General features: G+C 34.0%; 1 protein-coding gene across 9 annotated transcripts in view; it reads right to left on the bottom strand.

The window, feature by feature from the left end:
* Positions 1–15,307, bottom strand: part of PTPRC (protein tyrosine phosphatase receptor type C) — a 118,764-nt gene that overhangs the window by 32,000 nt on the left and 71,457 nt on the right. For all 9 annotated transcript variants that reach the window (XM_047426381.1, XM_047426398.1, XM_047426409.1 and 6 more), the window contains 4 exons: positions 12,405–12,524; positions 8,637–8,795; positions 7,175–7,383; positions 3,001–3,061 (listed from right to left, as the gene is read on the bottom strand). In XM_047426381.1, coding sequence (XP_047282337.1) covers positions 3,001–3,061; positions 7,175–7,383; positions 8,637–8,795; positions 12,405–12,524 — 549 coding nt within the window. The remainder of the gene's footprint in view (positions 1–3,000; positions 3,062–7,174; positions 7,384–8,636; positions 8,796–12,404; positions 12,525–15,307) is intronic.

Below are 15,307 nucleotides of genomic sequence, written 5' to 3'. Positions count from 1 at the left end.
GTAATTCTGGAGATTAATTTCTGGGGATTAATTAGTTTTTGGTGATAATGAATGATATCAGAAAAAAATAAATCAGCAATATCATAGGAAATCTCCTCAGTCACCAAGATCTTCTAAGGACCACAGAACATCTAATCAACCTTTCCTGTTGTCTCACTGTGACTATGACTAGACTACCAATAAGAACCAAGCTTTTAAGGAAAACATCAACACCAAAGGGGAATGCCAAAATAATAAGTCAACTTATGAGTTTTATGACTAATAGACTCAACCAAAGACTATGGGAAGAAAATGGAGCAAAGAATTCTCAGATATATAAATCTTCAGGTTACAAAGGTCAATAGCATCCAGAAAAAATGAATGAAAAAGATTCAGGGCCAGGCACAGTGGATCACACCTGTAATCCCAGCACTTTGGGAGGCCAAGGCAGGTGGATCATTTGAGATCAAGAGTTCAAGACTAGCCTAACCAACATGGTGAAATCCCTTCTCTACTAAAAATACAAAAATTAGCCAGGTGTGGTGGTGCCTGCCTGTAATCCCAGCTACTCAGGAAGCTGAAGCAGGAGAATCACTTGAACCCAGGAGGCAGAAGTTGCAGTGAGCCGAGATTATGCCACTGCACTCCAGCCTGGGCAACAAGAGCGAAACTCCCTCTAAAAACAAAAACAAAAACAAACAAAACAAAACAAACAAAAAATTCAGGTAAGACCAAGAATAAAGACAGAAACCTAGCATTTCCAGGGGAGGAAAACTTGGGAACAGACCAAAAAAAGAGAGAGAGAGAGAGAGAGAGAGAGAATCAGGATGGAATTAGAAAGTAAAATTGGATTCAGGAAAATAAGACAGAAATAATTTTTAAATTCTAAAATTTTTAACTTAGAATTTTATACCAAGTCGATACACTGAACAAGTGCCAGAGCAGAATAAAAATTTTTTTTGTATGGGAGAATTAGAATTATTTTTCTTACACTAGAGAACATATATCAGTGAACTCAGACAGAAAAAAAAATAACTATGTGTGATACAGCAAATCTAAACCAGAAAACTGATGGGGGAATATTTCAAGATGGCATGTGAGAGTCCAGATCAGAGCAAGAAGAAAGGGTCCCCAGGAGTTCAATTGACAATGATGTCAAAGTACAGGTGGTGGAATATTATGCCGGGGAAACCCAACAACACATCCCTAGTAGCTGTACCCTAGCAATTCACAGCCCAAGTCCTTTCCTGGAACAGATATCACTATTTTAAAAGAAACTATATTATTTATCTCTTAGGATAATGATATTGTGAGCAGAGAGTGAATACAATGTTGTCTCCTTTGTGGAAAAAGATGAGGGCTAATTTTTTGGCTCCGTTGACCTGGAAACCTGATAAAAGTGGAATATTAGCTGGTTACCAGACAACATTGCTAATGGCAAAATGACCCTTGATTGCTAAACTACACCTGAACAGGGAGTGCTATATGTGAACTCTATTGTCCTCATGGGAAGTACCAGCTTTGGGTTTCCCTGAGTGCAGTGCCCGCTCATAACTGAGCACACCCCTGTTGGCATGTCTGGAAGCTATGCCCATGGAAATAGTATAAGAGATACTGATTCCTTTTGGAATGCAGCTCCTACACCTACACATGTGGTCTCATTCTCTCATATCTCAGTTGTCTTTGAGAGTGTCATAAGAAAAGTAGCTGGATTGCTGTGTGCACTGCTGCAAGGATTCCCGCTGCAAGGATTCCCACTGCCAGGCTCCCTTGCTAGCATGCTGTGCTTTTTGTTCTGTGTCTTTCCAGGTGAAATGTTTCAGATCTGGCCTATTAAGATGTGAGTGTGAATGTTCAGCTGAGTCTATGACTGCTATAAATTATTTACAATTTAATAGGAAAGAGTCAATGAAGTCATTTTTATTATAAAGATATTATAAAAGAAAAAGGTAATGTGGAAATAAAATCAAAGCTATCTTGCTGGACTTTTTTGACATTTAACACAGGGAGTTTTTATTTCATAAATCTGAGCAGAAAGAACTAAAACTTTGCAGAGGGCTTAGTAAAGCAGTTTGGAAAATAAGCTGTTTTTATATTTTCTCTTTTGACTTTGCATTCATACCAGTGATTGTGCACATGCATATGTGCATATGTAACATATGTAAGAGAGGAAGAACTAGAAGTGGCAAAGATAGAAAGACCTAGAAGTTGCTGACAACAAAGTACATACAGGCTTAAATAATTCTATTTACAATGTTAACCAGTAGAGAAAGCCCAAAGTAGAGTACTAGGTCTCCTTCCTCCATAGGCTCAGATCAATTGGTAATGTTAGTAACTCTAGAAAGAGCAGTATACAATATTGTTTATATATATATATATATATATGAAGGAAACTATAAGGAGACCCAAAAATAGAAATGGTTAAAAGTGGTTGCCTGGCAAACAGAATTGTGGGTGGGGAATGTAACATGCAGCTGTTATTTTCATTATTATAATGAAATTTAATTCTAAGTAATTTTTCATGTACACCTTTACTTTGATGAAAATATTTTAAATATCAGTGATAAATATTTACATAAGTATATTGTTATTAGGGAGTGCTTATATTAGCTTCCATTAAGTAAATCAAGACAGACTTGTATCTAAGGCCCACTTCTGCTAAACATATGCTGAAGAGACAGAATAAAATAGATAATCTAAAATAGTACACGAAAAATGTTACTAACATGACGATATTTCATAAACATAAACATAATTTAATAGTTTGGGTATATAAATCCTCTTATGAATTCAACAAACCTTTAATAATTGAATCTCCTAACTTGAATTTAAGATATTGTATTTAAATATATTTACATATATATGTATGGTTTTACTGACAATTAAAAATATTACATTTACGGAAGAGATATTATTTAAGCATTTAACAATCAAATGTGATTATAAGTGTAAAATAATATAGCTTTATAAGCATTAATATATATCTTAATATATATAATAAATAGCCCAGTGATAACTTACAAGATGTTGAATGATGTAAAATAAAGGGTTCTCCAGGATAGTCTCCATTGTGAAAATAGGCCTGAATTTCAGTAACAAAAAATAAAATAATTAGTTTGCTAATGTGAATTTATATATATATATATATTATATATCACAATGTAAAACATTTATATTATCTTTCATACCATGCATACAATAAAAGTATGCTGATTTGCTTTAAACTTCAAGGTTATGTCAGTATGTTGTCAAATATATTTGAAAAGACAATCAAAAAGATATCTTATCTCACTTAGCAATAAAAATATTTATAGTTATTAAACAATTATTAAATAATTATTTAAAATAATGAAACTGGATGAAGAAATAAAATCCAATACATCAAAATATTCATAAAGTTAAAATTCCCTATTAATAGGCTAATATTTAATTAAAAAAGGAAATTCAACCATAAGCTGTTTACTAGAATTATGCATAAAATGCACATACATTTTTTTAAGGGCAAATGGATATATAGTAAAATTTACTATATAGGCATAATGCATAAACACCTGTGTCTCATAAAATGTAATACAAATGAAGTGAAAACAATTTACATATACAGGGAAAATGAAAAGAGCAAAAGAGCAGTAAGAATCCTTGACCAAAAAAATTTAAGTAAAATATATTTGAATAATATCATTAAAAGAGAATAATAATAAATATAATAAATCTGACAAATATATATCTAAGCTTTTATCCTATGGAGAATATATAATTTACCCAATATTCACAGAATATTCATAAATATCACACATAGAGCTGTAAAAATTATTCTACAAATCCTAAAAGGCAGAAATTGTAAAAGCCAATTAACTTTTATCAGCTAATAATTAGTAGCAATAAGAAATTAAAGCACCAGAAATGTAGAAAAACTCTCTTAAATAATGGATATATTAAAAACTCTTCCAAATTATAACTACAGACTCATTAGAAATCATCAATAATCAAAATGTTTTACTTTAAGAATCATTGATTACATTTCATGTGAAGGCCTTCAGAAATTAGTGACAAACGATATAGACATGGGTTACAGTCAAAATTTTACCAAAGTACAATCCATAGCCTTTTTTTTCCCTTTAGTTTATAAAAATGAAAAAAAATTACAAGGAAGAAAACACTTTTAATCCGAAAGCCACCTGAAGAGCATCAAAATAAATCTATGGAAAAGTAATACTAATAAATCAACTTCATTAATTTATTAACCAGAGATCACAATGGTGAAAAAGCTGAAATGACTGCTCTCTCATGAAGGAGTGAACACAAAACATGATAGTGGAGACAGAAATAAGCATAATAAGAAGGTATGGCAAGTATAATAAAGAAAACAAAAACCATCTTTTGAAGATTGGGGGAAGAGAATTCGAAACTGAATAATTATCTCCTACTTTGAACGTTAAGGTTGTATTTTAATATGATGTACACCTATATTTTTCCATAGTAACTTATACGATTTGAAGAGTGGGAGAGGCATATTCTAGGAAGTGGGAAGAGCGTGGAGGGAGGTGGCTAAAAAGAGTAACACCTAGGTGCCTCTGAGAAATTATAGAGAAACCAGTGCACCTGGAGCTTAATGGGCACTGGAGAAGCAGTGGGGAATGAAGTATAATACACAATGATGTGACAATAAGAAAATATTTCTTTTAGGTTGACTATTCTTTGAAAAAATATATATAGCACACTCACTCAAAAAGAGTAAAATATCTGAAAAGACTAATCCTATTGAAAGAAGATATAAATGAGTCTTAAAGAATTTCTCTGCATGAAAGGAATGAAGACAAATTTTTCAGGAACAAATCACTCCTATACTATTTAAAGTTATATAATATAGGCCTGGCACAGTAGCTCACGCCTGTAATCCCAGCACTTTGGGAGGTAAGGTGGGCAGATCACTTGAGATCAGGAGTTCTAGGCCAGCCTGGCCAACATGGTGAACCCCCGTCTCTACTAAAAATACAAAAATTAGCCAGGCATGGTGGTGCATGCCTGTAATCCCAGCTTCTTGGGAGGCTGAGGCAGGAGAATCGCTTGAACCTGGGAGGCGGAGGTTGCAGGAGCCGAGATCACGCCACTTCACTCCAGCCTGGGTGACAAAGCGAGACTCTTTCTCAAAAAATAATAATAAAATTTTTTTAAAAAGTTATATGATACAGAAAAACAGGAACATATAAGCAATGTGTTTTATCAGATCAGTGTAACCTTTATACCAAATTTAATAAGAATGATGTCATCCAACGCCTATGCCAACACCGTCTCTACTCACTGAATGATCTCCTTTTTGAATATCTACTAATAAAGACAATAATAGGCTGTTGATTTCAATAATACTCTGAGAGAATAACACACAATGACAGAGCAGGGGTTTTTCTCTTAGAATGTGACAATGGTTTTGCATCATTTAAACTAATCACACCAGGGCATCACAACTATGGCATCATCTATCATAATGCCCTAAAAATCGATAAAATCCAACCGACATTTCCAGTTCAAAAACAAAATCAAAAAGTTTATAAATATGAAAACACTTCTTTAAGTGATAAAGAATATGGGCCGGGCACGGTGGCTCACACCTGTAATCCCAACAATTTGGGAGGCTGAGGCAGGCGGATTACTTGAGGTCAGGAGTTCCAGACCAGCCTGGCCAACATGGTGAAAACCTATCTCTACTGAAAATACAAAAATTTGCCAGGTGTGGTGGCAGGTGCCTGTAATCCCAGCTACTCAGGAGGCTGAGGCAGGAGAATCATTTGAACCCGGGAGGCGGAGGTTGCAGTGAGCCGAGATCACGCCACCACACTCCAGCCTGGGTGACAGAGCAGGACTCCCTCTCAAAACAAAAAACAACAACAAAACAAACAAACAAAACAAAACAAAACAAAACAAAAAAAGAATATGAGGCCGTTTGTCAACATCATATTAAAAAATTAACTATGGAAATTTCTATTTAACAGGAATAAAAGTGACAGATACATTTGTTTAAAAATAAAAAGGGGAATTATGTAAGACAAAGTGCTGTGAAGAAAACTAAAAGGCAAATTATAAACTGATAACATTTTTACGCATGTGACAAAGAGTTTAATATCATTAATATTCAAGGCATTTCTCCGGAGAAAACTGGATAAAAGAGGCAAAGAATAACACAAAGAACAATAAGTAAAGAAACTTCATTAAAAGAAAGATATCAATACCATATTTCAACCACCAAATAAAGAAAAAGAAAGGCGTATTCAGTGTTGGTGAGCCTCTCAAGAAGCAGTCATTTCATACACTGATACACCAGGGCAATTTGGTAAATTTTATAGAAAAAAAAAGTTACATATCCAAAAAGCCTCAAAATACATTTTGACCCAATAAATGCATTTTTAGGAATTTATGAAACATAAATTATTAAAGACATTCAAAAATTTTGCTTTACCAATAAGTGTGTTATCGGAATGTTGTTTATATTAGAGACCAACATAGTTATAGTTAATAGAATGTGATAAAGCCATACATAGAATATTATACAGGCATTAAAAACTACATAGTAGTTAAATATTTAACATAGAAAGGTGTGTGTGATATAGTGATATATTAAAAATACAGTTTTAAAACTGTATTTTGAAAACTGTGTACTCAGAATGTTGATAATACGTGTTAAGTGCATATAAATGTGTATATTATGAAGTTACATGTACAAAATACGATCAGTAGACAGTGAGATAATGAGTGTTTTAAATTCTGTATGCTCACTAGTATTGTCTAGTGTTTATTTCAAATATTTCCTAACCTCAAGGTACCTGTGAAATTTTGCAATTGAAAAATTCCACATTAATAAAGATAAAAAGCCAAAGTAAAGAAAAGGTAGATTTGGTAAAGTAATAATCTGTTGTGCATAAAGTGTTGTGCTTCTTAACACAGAAGCAATAATTTAGCTATAATTAAGTCATATTGAAGTTCTAAAATATTCCAATGAAACATTTGCTTTAAACCACTGACTTGAGCTATAGGAATAAAAATTTTAGAGTCAAATATTTGAGACTCTTTAAGTGTGATTCCATTACACATCAGAGCTTCTCAATCTCATGTGAGCAGTGGTCTTAAAGTTATTTAAGTACTATGAATCAATCATTATAATGTAGTTGGTACTATAGTAATGTAGAGAGCATACTTTTACCTTAAAAGTGTAGTCTGTTGAATATTGAAGATCTTTTACACGGAAATCGCAATTCTTATGCGACTCATTTCTAACCAGAGTATTTCCAGCTTCAACTTCCAAATGGTAACGTTCATGGGGGCCATTACGGTCCCTGGGAGGCCTACACTTGACATGCATACTATTATCTGATGTCATGGAGACAGTCATGTTCCAGACCTGGCTTGGAGCTATCAAAATGAAGAAAGATTTGTTATTAATAATTTAATAGATGCATATGTAAATTACTTGACAATACTTGGATATAGTATAAAGTATTTTAAGTGTTAGCTTGGGGGTTATAAATAAGGAAGTTATGATAGTACATAAATTAAAAAACAATATCAAAACCCTGAAGAATAAATCACTCATTTATTCAGTAAGTATTAGCATATAGGTTGTACATGAAGCCATGAGAGTTATTGCAATCCCTGAAGGAGACTGTGTAGAATTAGAGAATAGAGAAAAAGGGAAGGGAGTGGGGAAGAGGGGGAAGTTTGGGGAGAGGAGAGGAAAAATGTTGTTGATTGGGAAACCTCCAAGTCCTATTACACAATCTAGACCCTTCTTTCCCGGAGTGCTAATGTTATCCTGGTAAACACCTAGATGGGTTCTTCAGGAACAGAAACAAATTGTCTTCTTTTTCTGTGATACAGAAACTCAGGAAAACAACAAAAGCATAGAGCTCCAGGACCAGAACTTTTCAAACCAAAACCTAAATGACCTTAAAAGTGTCTTATATTCAGCCCCAAATAGCACAATATTTCTTCACAAGTCTAGTGCCCGTTAGGGTCTCTGGAGCTATAGATGCTGCCTTAAAACACGGCATTTCTTCTTCCCTGTCCTCGATGGAGGTTAACATGTGCCCCAGAAGCAGATCTAACTTTGGGCCTGGAAACTATGGAGAGATTATACTAGTGGCAAGAGCCAAATGCCATTGAAAGGAAACCTTAAATGGATAATGTGACATAAAATAGAATAGTAAGTAGTTGAGGGTAACGAAGAGAAGAAAATGCTAATAAAATATTACATTTTATGAAATGTTTTATCAGATGAACAGAGGTTAGTAGGCTAATGCTTTATGAGACATTGTTAGGTTTCTGATTACAATTAATATTTCCAGATAGTAAAGACAACAGCAAACAGTGAATGTTTTAATCTAAGTTGGTTAAGTACTTAACTGCATGAAATTGCACAAACTGATGCCAATTAAGATGCTTTTATGCTTTGTCCTTAAAATTCTATGACTATATCTGAAGAAGAGAGAGAATCCAGGATAACGGTTTTTAAACTTTTAGATTTTACGTGTTTATAAGCCCTAGATGTTAACAAATGTGCCAGGTAAATGTGCTTGCTAGAATAAAGATAGAAATATTGTAGGCTAAAAAGTTCATACCTTGCTTTTTACCATTTATGGAAAGAAGCATTAAAACATATAACTTACGAGCACTTTTAGTTGTGAAATGACACATTGCAGCACTTCCATTACGTTGCACTTTTGCAATGATGTAGGCATGTAATGATAAAACATATTTCGTATAAGGTTTTAAATTTTGCAAATCATATTTGATCAGGTTTTTATCCAGATTGAGGCAATCTTTTTCTGAGGAAAAATGTGAAAAAAAATTAGTAAGTCGTTAAAAGTCAGTACTACCACGTACCTAATTAATTTGGTCTCTACATCACATTGTTCCAAGTGAACTCCAAACTATTGAGTGATTGAAAAATAAGTACATCCTTGATACTCAAAAGTACCTACAATTATCAGCCAGTGTATTGAACAAACTCAATTATCATTGGTAAAATTAAATATTGAAAAATTATGGTTTTATATCATTAATTTGGTACATAAAATATTTAATAAGTTCAGATTCATTTGTGAAGACGATCTCTTTTGTTTCTGAGAAAACACAGCCCCCAGTGTATACTGTAAGTCTTGAGTTGCATGTTTCAGAATGATTCTTTTTTAGAAAACCTTTTCTGATATGTAACCTCCAAACTTTGAACATCGGTATTAGCTACTGTTTTGAATGTTAGATGCAGAATCCATTTGATCATCAGTCATTGGGTTGATTCTATCATAGTAATTTGGACACTACAGTAATTAACGGGAGCTGTGAGAATGAGGGAGTTTCATGCCGGAAGTGGAATTCAGCTGTTCATTGAAAGGTAAGTGGAACTGAATACATGTAAGGGAGAAAAGAAAATATTACAAACGGAAGAAGGAATGTTTTTGAGTTTAGTGACAAACCTGATCAGGACAACAGCTCTGGCTGGGGAGGCATATGAGAGGTAGGACAGTGTCTAAGTGTGTTTTCACACTCAGGCAGAAGACTTAGCACTTGTTAAGTAAAAAAATCACCAGCTGCTGCTATTTTTGAGTAGCCAAGTGACATCAGGAAAGAGGATGATTAGAGTGGCAACATGTTTCTGGATAGCAGCAACAGTAATAATAATATCAATAACGATTTTTAAAAATAATAACTCACTGTATGTGCCAAGCACTGTTTCAAGGGGTATACATGAAATAATTAATTTAACCATCACTGCAACTATTAGTTGGTACTCACTATCATCTGATTTTACAGATGACAAAACTGAGCCACAGAGAGATTAAGCAATTTGTTCTGTTTTTTTTTTCTTAAAAAAATAAAAGGCATTACACAAAATAATTTCCAGCAACATCATGGTGGTCTTGAAAGGTGCCTATTGCTTTCAGTAACTTTTGAAAAATAATCCTTTAAATCCAATAAAGCACAAAAGATCTCTTCCCCAATTCCCCAATTACCAAGAAGCTTCACTGTCACTTGCCATCATTAAGTTAACGAGATAAAACTGCAGTTCTCCAAAATATCTTAAGCTAAAAATGTGAGGAAAAATAAACAAACACACTTTGGGAGGCCGAGGCGGGCGGATCGGATCACACGAGATCAGGAGATCCAGACTATCCTGGCTAACACAGTGAAACCCCGTCTCTACTAAAAATACAAAAAAATTAGCCGGGCGTGGTGGCGGGCGCCTGTAGTCCCAGCTACTAGGGAGGCTGAGGCGGGAGAATGGCGTGAACCTGGGAGGCGGAGCTTGCAGTGAGCCGAGATCGCATGACTGCACTCCAGCCTGGGCGACAGAGGGAGACTCCCTCTCAAACAAACAAACAAACAAAACCAAGAGCAGAAAGGAAACAGATCAAGCTACTGAACTTGAACATCTATCACATTTTCTGTTAACCTCAGTTTCATCATATGAACTATGAAGATATGTATGCACATCTCCACTGAGTTATTAAAATAGTTGATAAAATCTTTAAATAATACATAATTAAAAAAACCTGCTAAACCAATAAAACTAAATTAATGTCAATTGCATTTTTTCTCCTCTTTTAATCCCTCTCTTTTAGAGACACTGAAAAAATTAAATTGTGAAGTAATGAAGTGAAATTTAATATCTGATTAAAAAGTAAACTGCAAATTTCATAGACTTTCTTCCTGTGGATTTTTAATAGTAATTTTATTTAAAATGGTGAGAAAAGTTAAGTTGCCTTAACGATACTATAATCCTATCAACTCTCTTTGCCTTAGGTAACATGGGAGAGGAGACAGGTATATGTTTGAGATGAAGGAGAAAACAAAAGCGGAGCACGCTGTTTAGAGTAGAGCTGGCTCCAAAGAGCCCTTTATGCAGTGTCAGGGCATGGTCCAAAGCTGCATTCAGTCACCAATCGGCAGCTTTGGAGAAAAGAAAACACACAGCCTGATAGCTAGCCTCCCCTTCTCAGCCATTCAATCCCGTTTAAGTGTTCTATGTGGACAGCTGTTAAATTTGGGTAACACTATTTAGTTGCCCAATAAGAAGGACCCATGCTAGTTGCTGTAATGAGTTGCTACTAACTCATTACATCCTTTTTACCCTAATTATGCAAATACAGTGGAAATACAGTTTAAAAAAACTGTAAAAATATAAAAGAGCCATAAATGCATAAAATGTCTACCATATACTCTGACATCGACAATACTCTCTAGTAGAGAGAGTGTAGACATTGAGGAATGCAGAAAGGGATAGTGAATAGAAGATTCAGAGAAGAGAAAAAAAAAATGAACAATGTGTTCCCATAGAAGCTACACAAAGTGTTTGTAAAAGAGGTGTCCAATGAGGCAGACAGTACCTCTGCTGTTTTATCTTCCTGGAATTTCCATTTTTCCTTCCACATAGACTTAACTTTTAAATTTATCATAACCTCAAATATATAGTATATATTTATTTTCCTTGGCCTTTGAATGTTAATTTGAAAACTACATGCATATTTAACTTTGCTTTAGTAGTCTGATTATTAAGACCTAAAGACACTAGCAAGAAAAGGCCATTAAAATATAAAATAACATAATGAAGAAAAATAGCCTTTCACTTTTCAAGTTTTGAAGTGTATGTCTGGTTCCTTCCCCACAGCACAGAGTGACAGAATTCTATGAGGTTCACTTCATTCCTATTTTAACCTATGGATAAAAGAATAGAGAAAGGGCTATCCCAGGCATTGAGGCTGCTCTGAGATACTCCACTGATGTTACTTTCTACAAACAATTTAGATACTTTAAATTGTCCAGAAGATATTTGTTCTCTTAAATAGCATCTCATTTGAACATTTCATGAGTGAACTAGTCATAGCACATTTCTTTCTTCTTCTTTTTTTTTTTAATTGCATTACTTCTGCAGAAGTCTAATTCTAAACTTAGAACTATGCTCCCAAGATTACACCAAACTGGCCCCAGCGGCTACATGGGCCCATGTTCATTTTTATTCACCCAACATTTTGTCTGTATTATTAGCTGAAACAAGTTTTACAAGGGGTTTGCTTGTTTGTTGGTTTGTTTAGGAGGCTGAATGATGAGTTCAAAGTGAGTCAAATCACTTACATAATACTTGCAAGACAGAAATGAGTGTTGTCATCCAGAGGTTTTCTGTCTCTAGGCTTTGGAGCACAAAGATTTAAACTAAGACCAAGAAGGACAAGCAAATATTTAGAATGTTCTGGATTTTAGTCATTTCTGGGGCTGGAAAGCTTTGAATGAGTGGAAGCAATTCTAAGATCAGGGAGTATACTATGCCTATGCAGTCTCTAAGCAGAGAGCTTTGTGACTCACTGGCTCAATAAAAATTTCTAGTACTTTCAAATTCTTGATTTCTCTTTTCTGATGAAATTAAATTCTACACAAATTACCTGTCTCTTTTATATAACAGAGGGTAAAATTATGAAATGATCTTTGAGGGGGATTCCAGGTAATTACTCCTTGATGTGCAGCTTCACTTCTACAAAAAATAATCTGAGGCTCTCCTGGACCTGTTAAAAGAATAAGAATGTTATGTAATATGAAAAATAAGACATGGATAAAGCATTCTTCATATTATAAGCATGCATTATTGATAACCATATTTTGACAAATGATGAATTCAAAATAAAATTTAAAGAAATGCATCTGGGCTCATTTAATTTGTTTTAGAGTAAATTCCTTTAACAAAGTAAATGTCACACCAGATTGGCACTGTGAAACCTAAGCATTCCACTGACTTGAAGATATCTAAGAACCCCCTCTTCCTTTCATATACATTATTCATATATATTCTTGCCCAGATACTACCTAAAAATCCTGGAATTTGTAGATTTTGCTGTGCTAAAAATCTGGCATTCATAGCACCAATAAATTTAGCAGTCATTGAGTAGCACTTGTCATTGCTTCCAGTAACTAGTCATTTGAAACTGAGAAAAACTGATAAATGTTTAAATAAAATGTCTGAAGTAAAATTTACATTAAAATGTACCCATTTGAGATACAGTTTAATGCATTTTTAACAAATGTATACATCCACATAACCAACACCACAATCAAGATAAAGAAAATTTCTGTGATCCCAAAATGTCCTTCTGTGGTACTTCCCAGTCAACTCAGCTCCTTTGACCAGACTCACGTACCTTCTGATCAACTTTCTGTTAACTACAGATTAAGTTTGTCTTTTTACCCATTGCATGTAAATAAAATGAAACAAACAGTAAGTACTTTTTCACTCCTAACATATTGCACTCAATGTAATGTTCTGAAGATTCATTCACTTAGTTGCATGTGTCATAGTTAGAATTTTAAAAAATTATCAGTAGTTATTGTAAAGATACACCACATTTTACCTAGGATTCAACAGTGAATACACATTTGGGCTGTTTCCAGGTTTTGGCTACTATGAATGCATCTGCTTTGTCATGTTTCCTCTTTGGTAAATACCTGGAGTGAAATTCCTGGGTCATGGCTGCACATCCTGACCAATAGTTAGTAGTATCCGTATTCTTAAGTTTAGCCATTTTAATGGATGTATAGTATTATCATCTCAGTGTTGTTTTAATTTGTATTTCTCAGTTAACTAATGATGCTGAGCATCATTTAATGTGCTTATTAACCACCTGTGTATCCTCTTTTGTGAAGTATATATTAAAAATGTTTGTCCATTTTCAATTGAGCTGTTTTAGTCCTTATTTTGCAGCTGAAAGAGCTCTCTGTATATTCTGGAAAAACTTCTGTTGTTGAAAAAATTAATTTTGATTTTTTACAAACTATTTATTGCTTTTTTATTTCCTTAGTGGCCTCATCCAAAGAGCAGGAATATTCAATTTTTATGCACTCCAATTCATCAAAAAAGTTTTATGTTTCTTGCTTTTGTGCCCTAGGAAATCTTTGCTAAAGCTACACATTTTCTCCTATGTCTTTGATTAGAATTTTTTAAATTATAGCTTTAGTATTTAGGTCTGGAATCCATTTTGAATTAATTTTTGTGTTTGTTGAGAGGTGAGAGCTGATGTTCATTTTTTTTCTACAGAGATACCAGGATCATTAGTTGAAAAGACTATTTTTCCCCCACTGAAAACATTTTGTGCTGTTTTCAAATATAAAACATAGTTTTCTGGGATTTCTATTTTGTTGCATTGATTATAAAGAATGTAATAATTGTGGTACTAATAAAAATACATTAAAATTTTCTAGTTATGCTGAGGATATAGTTTTTACATAGTTTTATTTGCTGTTCTTGTAGCTATATATTATTTTGGAGAAGTATGAGGAGACAAGGATTTAGGCAGCCTCTTTAGCCTTCAACTATCCTTTTTACATAAAACTTAGAATCACGGGCCGGGCATGGTGGCTCATGCCTGTAATTCCAGCACTTTGGGAGGCCAAGGTGGGCGGATCATGAGGTCAGGAGATTGATCTCTACTAAAAATACAGAAAATTAGCAGGGCGTGGTGGCACGCACCTGTAGTCCCAGCTACTTGGGAGGCCGAGGCAGGAGAATTGCTTGAACCCAGGAGTCAGAGGTTGCAGTGAGCCGAGATCACGCCACTGCACTCCAGCCTGGGCAACAGAGCGAGACTCCGTCTCAAAATCAAAACAAAACAAAATTTAGAATTACATTTATAAGTTTTGTCAAAAATTTCTCAATATTATCATTAATAAACAAATTCAGTAATGTGACAGACTGCAAGATCAATACAGAAAAATCAATTGTACTTTTGTACATTAGTAACAAACCTGAAAATGTGATTAAGAAAACAACAGCATTATAACCAGGAATAAACTTAAACTAGAAATAAATTTAACAGAAGAATTATAACACTAATGCACTGAAAACTACAAAACATTTTGAAAATAAATTAAAGAAGACATAAATTAATGGAAAGATATCTTGTGTTCATGAACTGGAAGACTAACATGGTTAAGATGGCAATATTTCCCAAATTTATCCACAGATTCAATGCAATCCCTGAAAGAATCCCAGATGGCTTCTTTATAAAAATTGAAAAGTTGATCCTAAAATTCATACAGAATTCCAAGTTCCCTTAGATATTCTAAACAATCTTGAGGAAAAGTAACAATTTGGGGGAACTTACAGTTTCCAGTTTCAAAATTTACTACAAAGCAGCAGTAATCGACAGTGTAAGTATGACATATAAATCAATAAAATAAAACTGAAAGTTCAGAAATAAACCCATCATTATGGTCAACTAATTTTTGATAAGAATGGCAAGACTATTCAGTGGGGGAATAAATAGTATTTTCAGCAAATGGCGCTGGAAAAATTAGA

This window comes from Homo sapiens, chromosome 1, assembly GCF_000001405.40.
Source record: "Homo sapiens chromosome 1, GRCh38.p14 Primary Assembly".
Lineage (NCBI taxonomy): Eukaryota > Metazoa > Chordata > Mammalia > Primates > Hominidae > Homo > Homo sapiens.
The sequence above is the reverse complement of the archived record's forward strand: the minus strand, read 5'-3'. Positions and strand labels throughout refer to the sequence as shown.